The sequence below is a fragment of the Homo sapiens genome, chromosome 4 (genome assembly GCF_000001405.40).
Source record: "Homo sapiens chromosome 4, GRCh38.p14 Primary Assembly".
Lineage (NCBI taxonomy): Eukaryota > Metazoa > Chordata > Mammalia > Primates > Hominidae > Homo > Homo sapiens.
This window is the reverse complement of record NC_000004.12, coordinates 94298535-94316305: the sequence shown is the minus strand read 5'-3', so window position 1 is coordinate 94316305 and position 17771 is coordinate 94298535. Positions and strand designations below refer to the sequence as shown.

Genomic DNA, 17771 nt, shown 5'->3' with positions numbered 1-17771 from the left:
AGCATAGACAGAGTTTGCCGTTCTCAATATGCTATATACTGCTACTTCCTCCTTTTCTTCCTCCTTCTCCTCTTCTCTTTCGTCTCTTTCTCTTTTCTGTTCAAAATACTTTTTTCAACTTGCAATACCCTCCTCAATGTCTGCCTTCTCCAGTTGACCATACGTGCCATGCATGCAAGGAATTTACCTCTTCTATTCAATACTACTATATACAGCCACTACTTGGGGCTGAGTCACAGTTGAGGCCCGTAATTATTTGTTGGGTAAAAAAAGGAGAGCTGGTTTGAGAAAAGGTGTGATGACTGCATTTGAGGATTTGTGGAAGAATGTTCAGGGGCCAAAAGAGTAATCAGAGATATATCCAAAAGGAGGCTGAAAAAATGAGCCTGTGGTTTAGGACTAAAAATATTGAATAAGGAGTCACCTCCATAAATTTTTAGCTGAAGCCTTGAGGTGGAAGTCAAAGTAGGGATGAAAATGAGTGAAGAATTCTGAAGACTATTCAAGGTCAGAAAGACGAATAATCAACCTTTGAATATCACACACACAAAAATATAGTTTACAGAGGAACTCTAAATCGTTCAAGAATTTTCTTTCGATTTTAACACCTTTATTGAGGTATAATTTACATACAATTCATCCACTGTCAGTATACAGTTTCTTAATTTTTAATAAATTTATACAGTTTTACAAAAGCAATCCATTTTAGAAAGCTTCTACACGGGAGCATTTTAAATTGGCACCATTGAGAAAACTTTTAGGAAGACCAATGATTTATTACCAAAAATAATGATTAACAAATGAGACAAAAGAAAAAAAACCCTCTATTATTTAAAAATTTTAGTCTCCAGTCAGAAAACAAATGCTCCTGACAAAAACTGTCTGCAAAAATAAAAATAATTCTTGATACAAAATAAATTATAACATAGGTACAGGTTATTTATTGCAGTGTTGCTTGTATTAACAAAAGACTGGAAATAAACCTAATCAGTTGAGGCTAGTTAAATAAATTGTGGGAGAGGCAGTTCCAAGATGACTGAATAGGAACAGCTCCAGTCTACAGCTCGAAGCGTGAGCGATGCAGAAGATGAATGATTTCTGCATTTCCAACTGAGGTACCGGGGATTGTCTCACTGGGGATTGTCAGACAGTAGGTGCAGGACAGTGGGTGCAGTGCACCGAGCATGAGCTGAAACAGGGTGAGGCATCGCCTCACCCAGGAAGTGCAAGGGGTTAGGTGATTATCTTTCCTAGCCAAGGAAAAGGGTGACAGACGGCACCTGGAAAATCGGGTCACTCCTACCCTAACACTGCGCGTTTCCGACAGTCTTAGCAAACGGCACACCAGGAGATTATATCCCGTGCCTGGCTAAGAGGGTCCTATGCCCAGGGAGCCTTGCTCATTGCTAGCACAGCAGTCTGAGATCAAACTGCAAGGCGGCAGCGAGGCTGGGGGAGGGGTGCCCACCATTGCTGAGGCTTGAGTAGGTAAACAAAGCTGCCAGGAAGCTCGAAAGGGGTGGAGCCCACCACAGCTCAAGGAGGCCTGCCTGCCTCCGTAGACTCCACCTCTGGGGGCAGGGCATAGCCAAACAAAAGGCAGCAGAAACCTCTGCAGACTTAAATGTCCCTATCTGACAGCTTGGGAGACCATAGTGGTTTACCCAGCATGCAGCTTGAGATCTGAGAATGGACAGACTGCCTCCTCAAGTGGGTCTCTGACCCCTGAGTAGCCTAACTGGGAGGCACCCCCGAGTAGGGGCAGACTGATACCTTACATGGCCGGGTACCCCTCTGAGACAAAACGTCCAGAGCAACGATCAGGCAGCAACATTTGCGGTTCACCAATATTTGCTGTTCTGCAGCCTCCGCTGCTGATACCCAGGCAAAAAGGGTCCGGAGTGGACCTCTGGCAAACTCCAACAGACCTGCAGCTGAGGGTCCTGACTGTTAAAAGGAAAACTAACAAACAGAAAGGACATCCACACCAAAACTCCATCTGTACGTCACCATCATCAAAGACTAAAGGTAGATAAAACCACAAAGATGGGGAAAAAACAGAGCAGAAAAACTGAAAATTCAAAAAATCAGAGCACCTCTCCTCCTCCAAAGGAACGCAGCTCCTCACCAGCAATGGAACAAAGCTGGACAGAGAATGACTTTGATGAGTTGAGAGAAGAAGGCTTCAGATGATCAAACTTCTCCGAGCTAAAGGAGGAAGTTTGAACCCATGGCAAAGGAGTTTAAAAACCTTGAAAAAAGATTAGATGAATGGCTAACTAGAATAACCAATGCAGAGAAGTCCTTAAAGGACCTGATGGAGCTGAAAACCATGGCACGAGAACTACATGATGAATGCACAAGCTTCAGTAGCTGGTTTGATCAACTGGAAGAAAGGGTATCAGTGATGGAAGATCAAAAGAATGAAATGAAGCAAGAAGAGAAGTTTAGAGAAAAAAGAATAAAAAGAAATGAACAAAGCCTCCAAGAAATATGGGACTATGTGAAAAGACCAAATCTACGTCTGATTGGTGTACCTGAAAGTGATGGGGAGAATGGAACCAAGTTGGAAAACACTCTGCAGGATATTATCCAGGAGAACTTCCCCAATCCAGCAAAGCAGGCCAACATTCAAATTCAGGAAATACAGAGAACGCCACAAAGATACTCCTCGAGAAGAGCAACTCCAAGACACATAATTGTCAGATTCACCAAAGTTGAAATGAAGGAAAAAATGTTAAGGGCAGCCAAAGAGAAAGGTCGGGTTACCCACAAAGGAAAGCCCATCAGACTAACAGCTGATCTCTCAGCAGAAACTCTACAAGCCAGAAGAGAGTGGGGGCCAATATTCAACATTCTTAAAGAAAAGAATTTTCAACCCAGAATTTCATATCCAGCCAAACTAAGCTTCATAAGTGAAGGAAAAATAAAATCCTTTCCAGACAAGCAAATGCTGAGAGATTTTGTCACCATTAGGCCTGCCCTACAAGAGCTCCTGAAGGAAGCACTAAACATGGAATGGAACAACCAGTACCAGCCCCTGCAAAAACATGCCAAATTGTAAAGACCACCCAAGCTAGGAAGAAACTGCATCAGCTAATGAGCAAAATAACCAGCTAACATCATAATGACAGGATCAAATTCACACATAACAATATTAACCTTAAATGTAAATGGCCTAAATGCTCCAATTAAAAGACACAGACTGGCAAATTGGATAAAGAGTCAAGACCCATCAGTGTGCTGTATTCAGGAAACCCATCTCACGTGCAGAGACACACATAGGCTCAAAATAAAGGGATGGAGGAAGATCTACCAAGCAAATGGAAAACAAAAAAAAAGCAGGGGTTGCAATCCTAGTCTCTGATAAAACAGACTTTAAACCAACAAAGATCAAAAGAGACAAAGAAGGCCATTACATAATGGTAAAGAGATCAATTCAACAAGAAGAGCTAACTATCCTAAATATATATGCACCCAATACAGGAGCACCCAGTTTCATAAACCAAGTCCTTAGAGACCTACAAAGAGACTGAGATTCCCATACAATAATGGGAGATTTTAACACCCCACTGTCAACATTAGACAGATCAATGAGACAGAAAGTTAACAAGGATATCCAGGAATTGAAGTCAGCTCTGCACCAAGTGGACCTAATAGACATCTACAGAACTCTCCACCCCAAATCAACAGAATATACATTCTTCTCAGCACCACACCACACTTACTCCAAAGTTGACCACATAGTTGGAAGTAAAGCACTCCTCAGCAAATGTAAAAGAACAGAAATCACAACAAACTGTCTCTCAGACCACAGTGCAATCAAATTAGAACTCAGGATTAAGAAACTCACTCAAAACCGCTCAACTACATGTAAACTGAACAACCTGCTCCTGAATGACTACTGGGTACATAACGAAATGAAGGCAGAAATAACGATGTTCTTTGAAACCAATGAGAACAAAGACACAACGTACCAGAATCTCTGGGACACATTTAAAGTAGTGTGTAGAGGGAAATTTATAGCACTAAATGCCCACAAGAGAAAGCAGGAAAGATCTAAAATCGACACCCTAACATCACAATTAAAAGAACTAGAAAAGCAAGAGCAAACACATTCAAAAGCTAGCAGAAGGCAAGAAATAACTAAAATCAGAGCAGAACTGAAGGAGATAGAGACACAAAAAACCCTTCAAAAAATCAATGAATCCAGGAGCTTATTTTTTGAAAAGATCAACAAAATTGATAGACTGCTGGCAACACTAATAAAGAAGAAAAGAGAGAAGAATCAAATAGATGCAATAAAAAATGATAAAGGGGATATAACCACAGATCCCACAGAAATACAAACTACCATCAGAGAATACTATAAACACCTCTACACAAATAAACTAGAAAATCTAGAAGAAATGGATACATTCCTCGACACATACACCCTCCCAAGGCTAAACCAGGAAGAAGTTGAATCTCTGAATAGTCCAATAACAGACTCTCAAATTGAGGCAATAATTTATAGCTTACCAACCAAAAAAAGTCCAGGACCAGATGGACTCACAGCTGAATTCTACCAGAGATACAAGGAGGAGCTGGTACCATTCCTTCTGAAACTATTCCAATCAATAGAAAAAGAGGGAATCCTCCCTAACTCATTTTATGAGGCCAGCATCATCCTGATACCAAAGCCTGGCAGAGACACAACAAAAAAAGAGAAGTTTAGACCAATATCCTTGATGAACATCGATTGGAAAATCCTCAATAAAATACTGGCAAACTGAATCCAGCAACACATCAAAAACCTTATCCACCATGATCAAGTGGGCTTCATTCCTGGGATGCAAGGCTGGTTCAACATATGCAAATCAATAAACGTAATCCAGCATATAAACACAACCGATGACAAAAAACCACATGATTATCTCAATAGATGCAGAAAAGGCCTTGGACACAATTCCACAGCCCTTCATGCTAAAAACTCTCAATAAATTAGGTATAGATGGGACGTATCTCAAAATAGTAAGAGCTATCTGTGACAAACCCACAGCCAATATCATACTGAATGGGCAAAAACTGGAAGCATTCCCTTTGAAAACTGGCACAAGACAGGGATGCCCTCTCACACCACTCCTATTCAACACAGTGTTGGAAGTTCTGGCCAGGGCAATCAGGCAAGAGAAGGAAATAAATGTTATTCAATTAGGAAAAGGGGAAGTCAAATTGTCCCCGTTTGCAGATGACATGATTGTATATTTAGAAAACCCCATCATCTCAGCCAAAAATCTCCTTAAGCTGATAAGCAACTTCAGCAAAGTCTCAGGATACAAAATCAATGTGCAAAAATCACAAGTATTCTTATACACCAATAACAGACAAACAGAGAGCCAAATCATGAGTGAACTCCCATTCACAATTGCTTCAAAGAGAATAAAATACCTAGGAATCCAACTTACAAGGGATGTGAAGGACCTCTTTAAGGAGAATTACAAAACACTGCTCAACAAAATAAAAGAGGATACAAACAAATGGAAGAACATTCCATGCTCATGGGTAGGAAGAATCAATGTTGTGAAAATGGCCATACTGCCCAAGGTAATTTATAGATTTAGTGCCGTTCCCATCAAGCTACCAGTGACTTTCTTCACAGAATTGGAAAAAAACTACTTTAAAGTTCATATGGAACCAAAAAAGAGCCTGCATTGCCAAGTCAATCCTAAGCAAAAAGAACAAGGCTGGAAGCATCACGCTACCCGACTTCAAACTATACTACAAGGCTACAGTAACCAAAACAGCATGGTACTGGTACCAAAACAGAGATATAGGCAGACCAGTGGAACAGAACAGAGCCCTCAGAAATAATACCACACATCTACAACCATCTGATCTTTGACAAACCTGACAAAAACAAGAAATGGGGAAAGGATTCCCTATTTAATAAATGGTGCTGGGAAAACTGGCTAGCCATATGGAGAAAGCTGAAACTGGATCCCTTCCTTACACCTTATACAAAAATTCATTCAAGATGGATTAAAGACTTCAATGTTAGACCTAAAACCATAAAAACCCTACAAGAAAACCTAGGCAATACAATTCAGGATATAGGCATGGGCAGGGACTTCATGTCTAAAACACCAAAAGCAATGGCAACAAAAGCCAGAATTGACAAATGGGATCTAATTAAACTAAAGAGCTTCTGCACAGCAAAAGAAACTACCATCAGAGTGAACAGGCAACCTACAGAATGGGAGAAAATTTTTGCAATCTACTCATCTGACAAAGGGCTAATATCCAGAATCTATAAAGAACTCAAACATATTTGCATGAAAAAAGCAAACAACCCCATTAACAAGTGGGCGAAAGATATGAACAGACACTTCTCAAAAGAAGACATTTATGCAGCCAAAAGACACATGAAAAAATGCTCGTCATCACTGGCCATCAGAGAAATGTAAATCAAAACCACAATGAGATACCATCTCACACCAGTTAGAATGGCGATCATTAAAAAGTCAGGAAACAACAGGTGCTGGAGAGGATGTGGAGAAATAGGAACACTTTTACACTGTTGGTGGGACTGTAAACTAGTTCAACCATTGTGGAAGTCAGTGTGGTGATTCCTCAGGGATCTAGAACTAGAAATACCATTTGACCCAGCCATCCCATTAGTGGGTATATACCCAAAGGATTATAAATCATGCTGCTATAAAGACACATGCACACGTATGTTTATTGCAGCACTATTCACAATAGCAAAGACTTGGAACCAAGTCAAATGTCCAACAATGATAGACTGGATTAAGAAAATGTGGCACATATACACCATGGAATACTATGCAGCCATAAAAAATGATGAGTTCATGTCCTTTGTAGGGTCATGGATGAAGCTGGAAACCATCATTCTCAGCAAACTATCTCAAGGACCAAAAACCAAACACTGCATGTTCTCACTCTTCTCTCTCATAGGTGGGAATTGAACCATGAGAACACATGGACACAGGAAGGGGAACATCACACACCGGGGCCTGTTGTGGGGTGGGGGGAGGCGGGAGGGATAGCATTAGGAGATATACCTAATGTAAATGACGAGTTAATGGGTGCAGCACACCAACATGGCACATGTATACATATGTAACAAACCTGAATGTTGTGCACATGTACCTTAGAACTTAAAGTATAATTAAAAAAATAAAAAAATAAATTGTGGCGCATCTACCTCAATGAATCCCTATGTAGCCAAAAAAAAAAAAAAAAAAAAAAAAAAGCAAGTACACCCTTTGGGTACTTGTAAAGAAAGATATGTAGGGGACATGGGATGAGGAAGCATATCTAGTGGGATATATATTTTATTTGCTTGTATTTTCATAAAGAAATAATGTAGAATACTAATTAAAGTGGTACCAGTAAGGTAGGTAGGTAAGGGAGCAAAATGTGGTGGATGGAAGCTAGTCTTCACTGGATATTGTTTTACACTCTTTGAATTTTCAACCATATGAGTATACTATCTGTTAAAAACAAACTTTTTAATATAGTAAATTAAACATATTGATGGGCCTCTCTCTATTCCACAGATTTGGCTGGAAACACAGAAATGGAACAATGTCATGTTGATGCTATTGTGGACACTCTGGATGATTTCATGTCATGTTTTCCTTGGGCAGAGAAAAAGCAAGATGTGAAAGTAATGTGATCCATTTGCTATTCCTAGTATTAATTATATACCACCTGCCAGACATTGTGTTAGGTGCCTTAGAAAGTTCCTTAATATCAAAAGAATATGTATAATTTTAAAATACCAAATTATATTTTAAAAGTTTAAAATAAAGTACAGCAATTCCCTATTGTACCCCTTCACATTAACTCCTCCCCAGATGCAACCCTTTTAAAACTTTGTTTAGCAGTTTCTTTAGGATTTACACATTTCCATATTTCTATAGGATAAATAAATATGACTTCCTCTGATTGACCAATTGTAAATGATTTCTCAGGACTTATGATAGTACAGGTTAAGCATTCCTAACCTGAAAGTCTGAAGTCCAAAATGCCCCAAACTCCAAAACGTTTTAAGTACCAAGATAACAGCACAAGTGGAAAATTCCACATGTAAGTACTTAACACAAACTTTAGCAAATGTGCAAAATTATTGAAAATACTGTATAAAATTACCTTTGGCTATGTGTATAAGGTGTAAATGAAACATAAATGAATTTGGTTTTTAGATTTAGGCCCCATCCCCTATATATCTCATTATGTATATGCAAACATTCCAAAATCTGAAAAAGTCTGGAATTCAACACAATTCTGTTCCCAAGCATGTTGGATAAGGGATCTCAACCTGAAATAACAATTTTTCTCTTACATAGTCATCCTTTCTGCTTCCTTTTCACCAAGCTCCCAATATTGTGATGTGAAAATTTTTTGGTTAATTATCCTGTGATTAGTAGGCTATGCAAATAATGCACAGAACTGTGCACTGTAGTATGCTTTTATATTTTCTTTCTCACTTTTCTTCCTTAAAATTAGTAATTGCTTTCTTTTGCTTCTTTTCACTTTTACTGCTGACTTTCCACAGTATCCAATAGCCTGCCAATACGATTTTCCACAAGGTCAACGTAGTGTCAGTTCATCTGTTATTTCCAATATTTCTTGGAGCGCTCTCTAGGAGACTTCCATTCTTTGTGGAGTTCTCCAGGTTTTCTGCACAGCTGTCATCATTGGAATTCCCTTTGCTGTTATTCCAGTGATGCCATTCTATGGAGCTGGAGTCCTGTTCCTGGATGCTGCCTTCTTTCTTTGTTTACTCCATTGTTTATTTGGGGGCACATCCTCTAGTATTCCAAAAGTTAAAATGAAGGCTTGATGACAGCAGATATGATTATGACAGATGGCATGGATATGTCTATCTTGTGAGTCACACTGCTTCGCTCTGGTATGGTTGTCCTAGATACTTGGTCACAGTTGTCATCCTGAGATCTTTATTATTACCCAGGATTTTTTTTTTTTTTTTATGTTTTCCTGGGTTCATTCTCCTGTTTTCTTTCCTTGCTTTTGTGGAACAGTCCTCTAAGAGCTTACTGGTCATAGGAAATAAAAGTTTGGGGCTTTTGGGGCCTTATTTGTTTAAAGATGTTTTTATTTTATTCTCAAACTTGTTTATAGTTTGACTGGGTGTAGAATTCTGATGAAAGTAGTTTTTCATTAGTATTTGAAAGGCTGTTGAGAAGTTTGAATTCAATGTAATTACTGACCTTTTGTATGTGACCTATTTTTTTTCCACTCTGAAAGATTACAAAACACGTGCCCTTAGAGTTCTAAAATTTTGCAATGGTGAGTCTTGGTATGATCTTGTTTTCATCCATTGTGCTGTTTCCTTGGTGATTCCGTTCAATCTGGGACCCATGTCCTTTAGTTCAAGGACATTTCCTTTAATTCTTTCATTAATGATTTCCTCCCCCTTTATTTTCTTTGTTCCATTATAGTAGAATTCCAGTAATTCAGATGTTGGTTGGCTCTTTTCCTATTTCCCGTCTCTTGGCTTTTCTGCATTACTTTTAGAAAGCATTTCTCATCAGTCCTTGAGTTCTAAATTTCTGATATTGTGCTTCTAAATTTATAAAAATTCTTAGGCTGTTTTCCGCTAAGAATGGGGAAGGGACAGCTGTCTAGTAATGTAAAATGAAGAACATCCCATGCTAAAACCGCTTAATAGTTTTCCACCAATCCTCATTTTATCCCCTCCCAAACCTCCTTAACCCCAGTTCTAGACATATCCGGTCATTTCCTGAGCCATTTAAGGATTTTGTGTTGTTGATAGGATTGGTTCTTGGCTTTCCCTTCACAGGTGCCATTCACCCATCTGCTTACTAGCTTCAAATTTTGTTTGCTCTTATCTCCTCTCTTTCCACTTCCTTGTGGGTTCTATCTTTTTAAAAATATTCATTACTGTGGTTTAGAGATGAATGCAAAATGATATATATTTGTCAAATTATTCATCTTTATGCAGAATTCTAAATAGACGTCTTTATTACAGCTTCTAGTGGTTTCCTTTAGGACGCTCATCACAGTCTCTATTTTAAAGAGACTGGCAGGTGGTGTGTGATTACTTGTTTGTTGTTTGTCTCCTCAAGCTGGATGCATCGTGGGGTAGGAATCATGTCTGTATTATTCAACTGATCCCCCACCGCCATCACAGTGCCTTTTACATAGTAGGCATTACACACTTGTTGAATAAGTGATCAGAACCACACTCATCAAATGCACACCATGTGCCTGTGTTACTCTCAGCTCTATGTGTTATCTCAGTCAGCCCTCCTCCCACTTCAAGATAAGTGCTTTTTATTGTCATGCTCACTTTCCAGATGAAGACACTGAGAAACAGAAGTTACAGAGTTGCCCAAAGTCACACAACTGACAGAACTGTGAACTGAGCCCAGACAGCTGAATTTAGATCCCATAGCCTCATCACCTAGGTATACAATTGCTTAAATTAGTAACTAATTTAAGCATTCCTTTAGAATGAAACTGCTGTTATCCTCATCTTCCAAGTAAGAAAACAAGAGTTTCATGTAGTGTAAACAACTTACCCAAAATTGTTCAGCTAGAAGTGGTGCAGAAGGAATTCAAATCGTCACTGACTCAAACCCCAGGTTCTTAACCACTGGGTATAATACCACAGTGCAAGCAGCTGTTCAAAACAGCTGCGCATGAATATTTATGTACATGTTAAAGCTAAAGCCTATAGTCGAAAGCCACAGCACAAATAGCAGGCAGTCTTATCAATTTACTTAAGCACATATTTAAGCACATACTATCTACTTAGTATTTATTGTAAATACTATTTAATTAGCACCTTCTGATTTGAATAGAGATATCCGGACACAAAAGTATTTACATTGACTAACTCCATGATATAAATGTAAGGTGTGTAGGGTCTGCCCACACACACACGTATATATATAGGCCTAGCCAGGAAATAATGAAGCTCAGCTTTGATGATAGAAATACAACTTTTTGACATAAGTACATTTAGGCTCTGGAGTCAAACTGCCAGGTTGAATCCTGATTCCCTTCTTACTAGCTGTCACTTAACTCCCTATTTATAGTTCAAACTCTTTGTAAAGTGGGAATACAACAGGCTCTACTTTGAAGTATGTTGGCAGGATTAAATGTTAGCATATGTGCCTATGGCTAGGTAGGAAGTGTTAAATATTAACTATTATAATTAATAGTGTTATATACTTTGGTGTTAATTGTTTTTACTATTTGTCAGACATGGCATCTGTATTTTACATATCATTATAAATGTAGAAACAGATGCTCTCCAATTTAGAAGTGTCTAAAGATTTTTGTTCCATGTACCAAACACCCCCCTAATGTGCAGTCTATCAATTTATCAGTTTGCTCTTCTCTACTTTTCTATTTTCTACCTTTCTGTGGCTGAGGCTCCATAACAGAGACCACCTCCCAGAGGAAAATATTCTTCGAACATTTATGATAAGAGTAACACTCTACCTTTGTATTAGAATAACAACTCTCTTACATACCACCAATTCCAAAAAAACAATTTCAAAGGACACAGCAATCCAAGTTCATGATTAAATCATACAAAGGCAGAACACGTTGCAGAAACATTGCTGATAGCTATAGACTATCTAATTAACAAGCAGGACTTGGCTAATATATAATGAAAAATGCACTGTTCTGTATTTCATTTCTTAGACTGTTGGTAGTGGGCTACATTGCTGCCATCTTGTGGTCAGGTGAAAATTTCAAAGGCAGAATATTGATGCACTTAAGATGGATAGTGAATATATTCTTGTCATATACACCTTAAAAATCTACCAAATACACACAATTTTACAGTATTTATTACTAAAAATTCCATTTCCAATAAAAAAAGAATTAAAAGCAAAAGATGCCTTTGGATATTGGTCACCATGACAATCCTTGAACTCACCATTAGTGTTACTTTGGTTATTTAATGTATCTGTGTTTCCATTTCCTCATCTAAAGAACAGGATGGGGAAGAAGAATGAGAAGGCCTGAGGACATTCTGATGTCGTGGTTCCAACACAAAATAATTTTGGTAGTGCATATCTGAAAATGCTTTTGAGAAATATACGAACCTCTCTAAAAGTCATTTGTTAAACTTTCATAGCAACAAATTCTCAGGGTGAAAAAACCTCCTCTGAAAAGGGAGGCTAGAAATTTCTGAATCCATCAAGTAAAGGAGTGGCTATCTAGGATGGATCAGGAAATGTGTTTTTTAAAATATATCTGGAAAAAAAAAGAAGTGTAATCAAATCTTATCTTCTTTATGTTATTTTGGTTGATTGTACTTTAAAATGAAACTTAAATACTAATTACACTGTTTATTAATTTACATTTCATTAGACTGAAATAATTCACCAAACTTACAAAGACAATCTGGGCTCAAGGAGAAGTCAGTAGCACAGATATAAGAGTTTTATTTGACTCTGCATATACACAAACATTGGTGCACCTGAAGCTCTGGAAATGCACGTTAGAAGAACAGAATTTGCCAGGAGTGCACACAGGAGTTTTTGGAAAGTTGTCCAACAATCAAATTGGCCATTACTTTTCTGACTGATGCCAACTGAGGTGAGCAGATCTGTGGCAAGCACCACATGGTTATCGACTCACTGCCCTTCAATGGGATTACAAATTCTGTGTAAGCAGCAGAAAGACTCATAACTAATGTTTTCTTTAAAACTATGAACATACTGACCACAGAGCACTTTATAGAACAAGGGAAAGAACATAAAGTCAAAATAATGACAAGCTTTATAAGCTTCGGTTTTTAAATCTGGCAAACATATGTAAGTACATGTTGAGTATCCCTTATCTGAAATTCTTGGGACCAGAAGTATTTCAGAATTGGGGTTTTCTTCAGATTTTGGAATATTTGCATTATACTTACTGGTTGAGCATACCAAATCTCAAGAACCGATATCTGAGATGTTCCCCTGAGCATTTCCTTTGGGCATCATGCGCATGCTCAAAACGTCTTGGATTTTGGAGCATTTTGGATTTTTGGACTAGGGAGGCTCAACCTGTATGTAAGGATGCTTTTGCAAATTGTATTCTAAATATAAGGCATTATGTTGTGGTAGTATATACCATCTAGCTAAGTCATAATCATAACAGCAAGTAAATCAGCAAATTGGTACAGTATCCACTATCTGACTTATCTTAATAAAGGTTGGATTTCATTATAGATCATTTAGACATATTAATAAATGATATATACATTTTATATTTTTGAGTTTGGCTTCTATTTCATAACCAAGACTCAAACAGGCAGAATTCTTATATATAAACAAACATCTCTTATCAAGAAAGAGGCCTTGAGTAAATTATTTGGTCTTCAGAGCTTTAAGTAGAAAAATGATGACAATTAAAAAAATGGATGTTTTATATATATTTTCCTAAGGATGTTAATTTTTAAATAATATTTGTTTATATATCAAGAGGGGATAACTAGATGATGCATTTTGTAGATGATATTCAAGATGGACAAATCTGATAATGAGGCACAATGGTAGTCCAATGAGAAAATACATAAAGGCCCAAGATCATGATTCATTATAAACGCAATAGTGAAACGAAGAACTGCCAAACTAGAAGAGTCTAGCCTTACGAAATAAAATAAATTTCTTTACCTTCAGTTACATTATTTAGCTTTAAAAAAGCTAGGTTAAGAAAGAGGGAAATTTTAGGAATCTAAAAAGACAAGAGAATCATTTCACTTTAGTAAATTTAAGAAAAAATAAGATTTTGTGGGTAAAATATTTAGTCATTATACACAAAGAAACTAAGAACTGGTGACACAAAACTATTTTTTTAATCCATGAGCAATAAAGAGATGACTCACATCTATAGAGAATCAGACCTAAATCTCCATGTCATAAATTTGAATAAAAAATCTAGCTACTTCTCTTTCTTCTTGAATTCATGTGGGAGAATAAAGATGGAGAAATCTACTTCCTCCTCAGATCATGTTACTTTTCTTCTCATTATTCTTAAAGTGATATTTTCTCCTTCTCCTAGGAGCAGATGTTCAATGAGCTGCTCACGTATAATGCGCCTCATCTTATGCAAGACTTGGACACATATTTAGGGGGGAGAGAATGGCTTATTGGTAACTCTGTGAGTATGTTTTATATCTTAAAAAATTCAAGCAAATAAAAGGACAAACCAATAGAAGTATAAAAACTTACTGAAAAAAAGTTACCTATAGGGAGGGGATAGAATTTACAGCAAGAACAAAGGTTAAACTTCTTTAAATAAACCTTTTTAAAAAATAGATTTGACTTTGGAACCATATTTTATATAATTATATATTGGCAGCGAAAACTTAAAAAGCTATCCTAAAAATCAAAGCAAAGTAAATGAACCTAACTATGCAAAAGAGGTGCATAGAGAACACACAGAATACATATGTACTCTACTAGAGAAGAACTATTTCAAGAAGTATCATTTGTAAAACACACTAATCTGATTATACATCTAAGACAGATATCTCTTAGCTTAGAACAACAAAAAATCATATACTATTTTCAGTAATCATATTGTTGGTGGTACTACAAACTATTGGTATTTTTTTTCTGGTATTATTATAATTATATTGTGGGTACAAAAATAAATTGTGTTGATGTCACTGAGAACCAGGATCTTCAATGTGGGAGAACGGAGATAGAGATGTAAGGTGAGTAAGGTCAAGTAAATATCCATTCCTGAACTTGAACTACAGCTAACAGTATAAACTCATATGTATTTTATATCAGGATAAATTATGAAGCATTTTATATCTCGATCAGTTGGAAAAAGTTTGTCTTCATGAAAGTATTCCAGTTAATAGATAAGAAAGAAAGACTGAAATAAACTATCACCACTTTCCAACCCCAGAAAAATTAATTGGCGTAGGCATGGACCATCAATAATCACAAAAAAGTTAGACAACCAGATACTAGGCACACTACCACCTAGTAGTCTTGCCAAAAAATTCAAATCTAAACCTGATTACAAGTTGTGGTAGGTGGAGGTCTCTACCTTCAGGGAGACTGCATTTTGGGAGATAAGACTGCTTTTTTGTAGCATGCTGACACTCTGCTGTCTGCCCTGTTCAGCCCTTCTGGGTGATACAGAACTACATTTGCCACATCTTTATTCTCAACTTTCAACCTCTTCACATACCCCTTCATTTCTTCTGACTCCCCTCATAGCCTTTACTAAAATGCTCCTCTCCCTGCCCTATTGAAAAATTTCTAAGAATTTATTTTTCATTTTCTATTAAGATTCCTTTGTAAATGATGTTCTGATCTCATCTCTGGGCACTCTCTCCCTTCTTCACAGTGCTCCACACTGGTGTGTGTGTCCCTCAGACCTAACTCACATTCCCACTTAAGGGCCTTTACGCATTTCCCTATACCTGGAACGCTTAATCCCCAGATTGCTCACTGCAGGTCTTAATCTTTTTTTATATTTAAGCCTGGGCTTACGTGTCACCTCTTAAAAAGTCCTCTCTGACCATGTCATAGTCCATCACATGACTTCACTTTTTTTTTTTCCTAACCCCTATCATTTTGCATATTTGCTTTTCCCTTCTAAAATAAAAGCTACATGAGAGAAGGGCTTGCATCCTACCTTGCTCTCCAGCACCTAAACCTGGGCATGGCACACAGTAGGTGCTTGATAAATATTTGAATAAATTCTGGATTTATTCTGAATTCTGAGTCTTCCAGCCAGTAGCTTCTCTTGGCTGACAGATGTTTAATAAGTTCCTGAGGCACTAGCAATCAGCTTTATTAAATTCTATACAAAAAGAAAAAAGAGTGGGCCACATTTAAACTTCACTCTTTGATAATCATATGGAGCCAAAGTAACAGCATACAGATTAGTTTCTAACACAAAGATAAAAACATACAACTGTACAATGGTAGGACCAGGCTGTCATCACTAATCCAGTGGCCAATCTTGGCATACCCCTAATGGTCAGACATCCATATATTCTTTTTATGTGATACAATATAATGTATTTTAGCCACAAATATTTCACTTGAAATTATATACCCTCTAAGAGTAACCTGCACCTTCCTTTATACTACGTAGTACAAAGGAACAAGGTAAGATGAAATACAAAGGTCCTGAAGATAGAACATTCTGTAGGACTAGTGTGAAATCTTCAATAATTTGGTGATGTGAAAAAAAGGGTACTGCTTTGAAGAGTTAATGGACATAAGCAGATCAAATGCATAGACCTGGAATAGATCCTGCTTTGTCCTGTAAAGGGCAATTTTAGAACAGATGGAAAAATACGTATTGGTTATTGGATAAGGAAAATGTATTGTCACAGAGAGGTGGAGACTGGACAAGGTTACAAGAGTATGTACCATTAAGATCTCATGTTAGTAAAACAACATCTATCAGCATAGAAAAATATCTTATACACGAAAATGTTTAATAGTAGTAACCTGATTGCTGGAGTGTGATATCAGTAATTTTCTGAACTTCTATCATATAAACATTCTGCTTTTGTAATAACAAGATTGTTTTGAATCTTTTAGATTAAGAAACTAATTTCAATTTTGGAATGCTGATACAGCTACACTTTCTATGTTCAAATGAAAAGTTTGTTTCCTTTAAACTAGGTAACTTGGGCAGACTTCTACTGGGAGATTTGCAGTACCACACTTTTGGTCTTTAAGCCTGACCTGTTAGACAACCATCCAAGGCTGGTGACTTTACGGAAGAAAGTCCAAGCCATTCCTGCCGTCGCTAACTGGATAAAACGAAGGCCCCAAACCAAACTCTAGCTGATCCATGTTGCCTTCAAGTTTGTTTTTCTCGGGGGCATCTCTCTCATCAGATAAGACAGCTACATCAGCCTGCCAGATAATCCACATGCTCCCTCCCCAGCTCCACTAAGATTTTCACTTTAGCCATATTCTGATTTTTAAAAAGGAAAATAAAAACAAATCTTTCTTCAGTATCTTTTTCTTTCAGAATAGCTTCTCATCATTTACAATTACAGAAAAATAGTATGTAATACAGGCAGACCTTGCTTTGCACAGGTTCTAACATGCACGAATTGCAGTCATAATGGTTTAGCAACACCATTCTTCCCCTCCCCCAAAATGTTTTGGACTTCAGCTACCACAATTACCTGTAATTGCATAAAACACAAACTTTGCTAGTAGCTCTCCAGTTCACATATCGCTGTGTAAATAACCTATGTACATCATGACCAATGACCAGTCACTTCTATCAAAGACTGCCAGAGGTCACTGCACATCTGTTATTCCTGCATAGATAGCAAAGTGTGTAGTTGTATTGCTATTGCCTGCTTGTGGCCCAGTGATAAATCCCTTTGACATTTTACAAAAATGAATCAAAAGAGGGAACTCCCCAACAAAGATGAAAGTGCAGCAAAGGAACAAAAACTGATAATCCTGGAATGAAATTCAAACTGAATATAAAGAGTTATCGAGAAAAGAGCTGACTGTGGGAATCTGACACGGCTCAAAAGGCTCTAGATATGCAGCCAGAGAAACTTGTAAAGATGAATTTACTGACATGAATAAAGTTGTTGTGATGAGAAAAATGTAGATACCCCAGAGATCAAGAGAAGGAGAAGACAAGCCACAGACTTGGAGAAAATACTTGTAAAACATGTATCTGACAAAAGACTATTATTCAAAATTATATAGAACTCATAAAACTCGGCTGACTCTCTTTTCGGACTCAGCCCACCTGCACCC

General features: G+C 37.5%; 1 protein-coding gene across 2 annotated transcripts in view; it reads left to right on the top strand.

Moving 5' to 3' along the window:
- HPGDS (hematopoietic prostaglandin D synthase) overlaps window positions 1–17771 on the top strand; it is a 44302-nt gene extending 26531 nt beyond the window's left edge. For both annotated transcript variants that reach the window (XM_005262932.4, NM_014485.3), the window contains 3 exons: window positions 7563–7672; window positions 14062–14160; window positions 16662–17771. In XM_005262932.4, the coding sequence (XP_005262989.1) occupies window positions 7563–7672; window positions 14062–14160; window positions 16662–16826 (374 nt within the window). In that variant the 3' untranslated portion in view covers window positions 16827–17771. The remainder of the gene's footprint in view (window positions 1–7562; window positions 7673–14061; window positions 14161–16661) is intronic.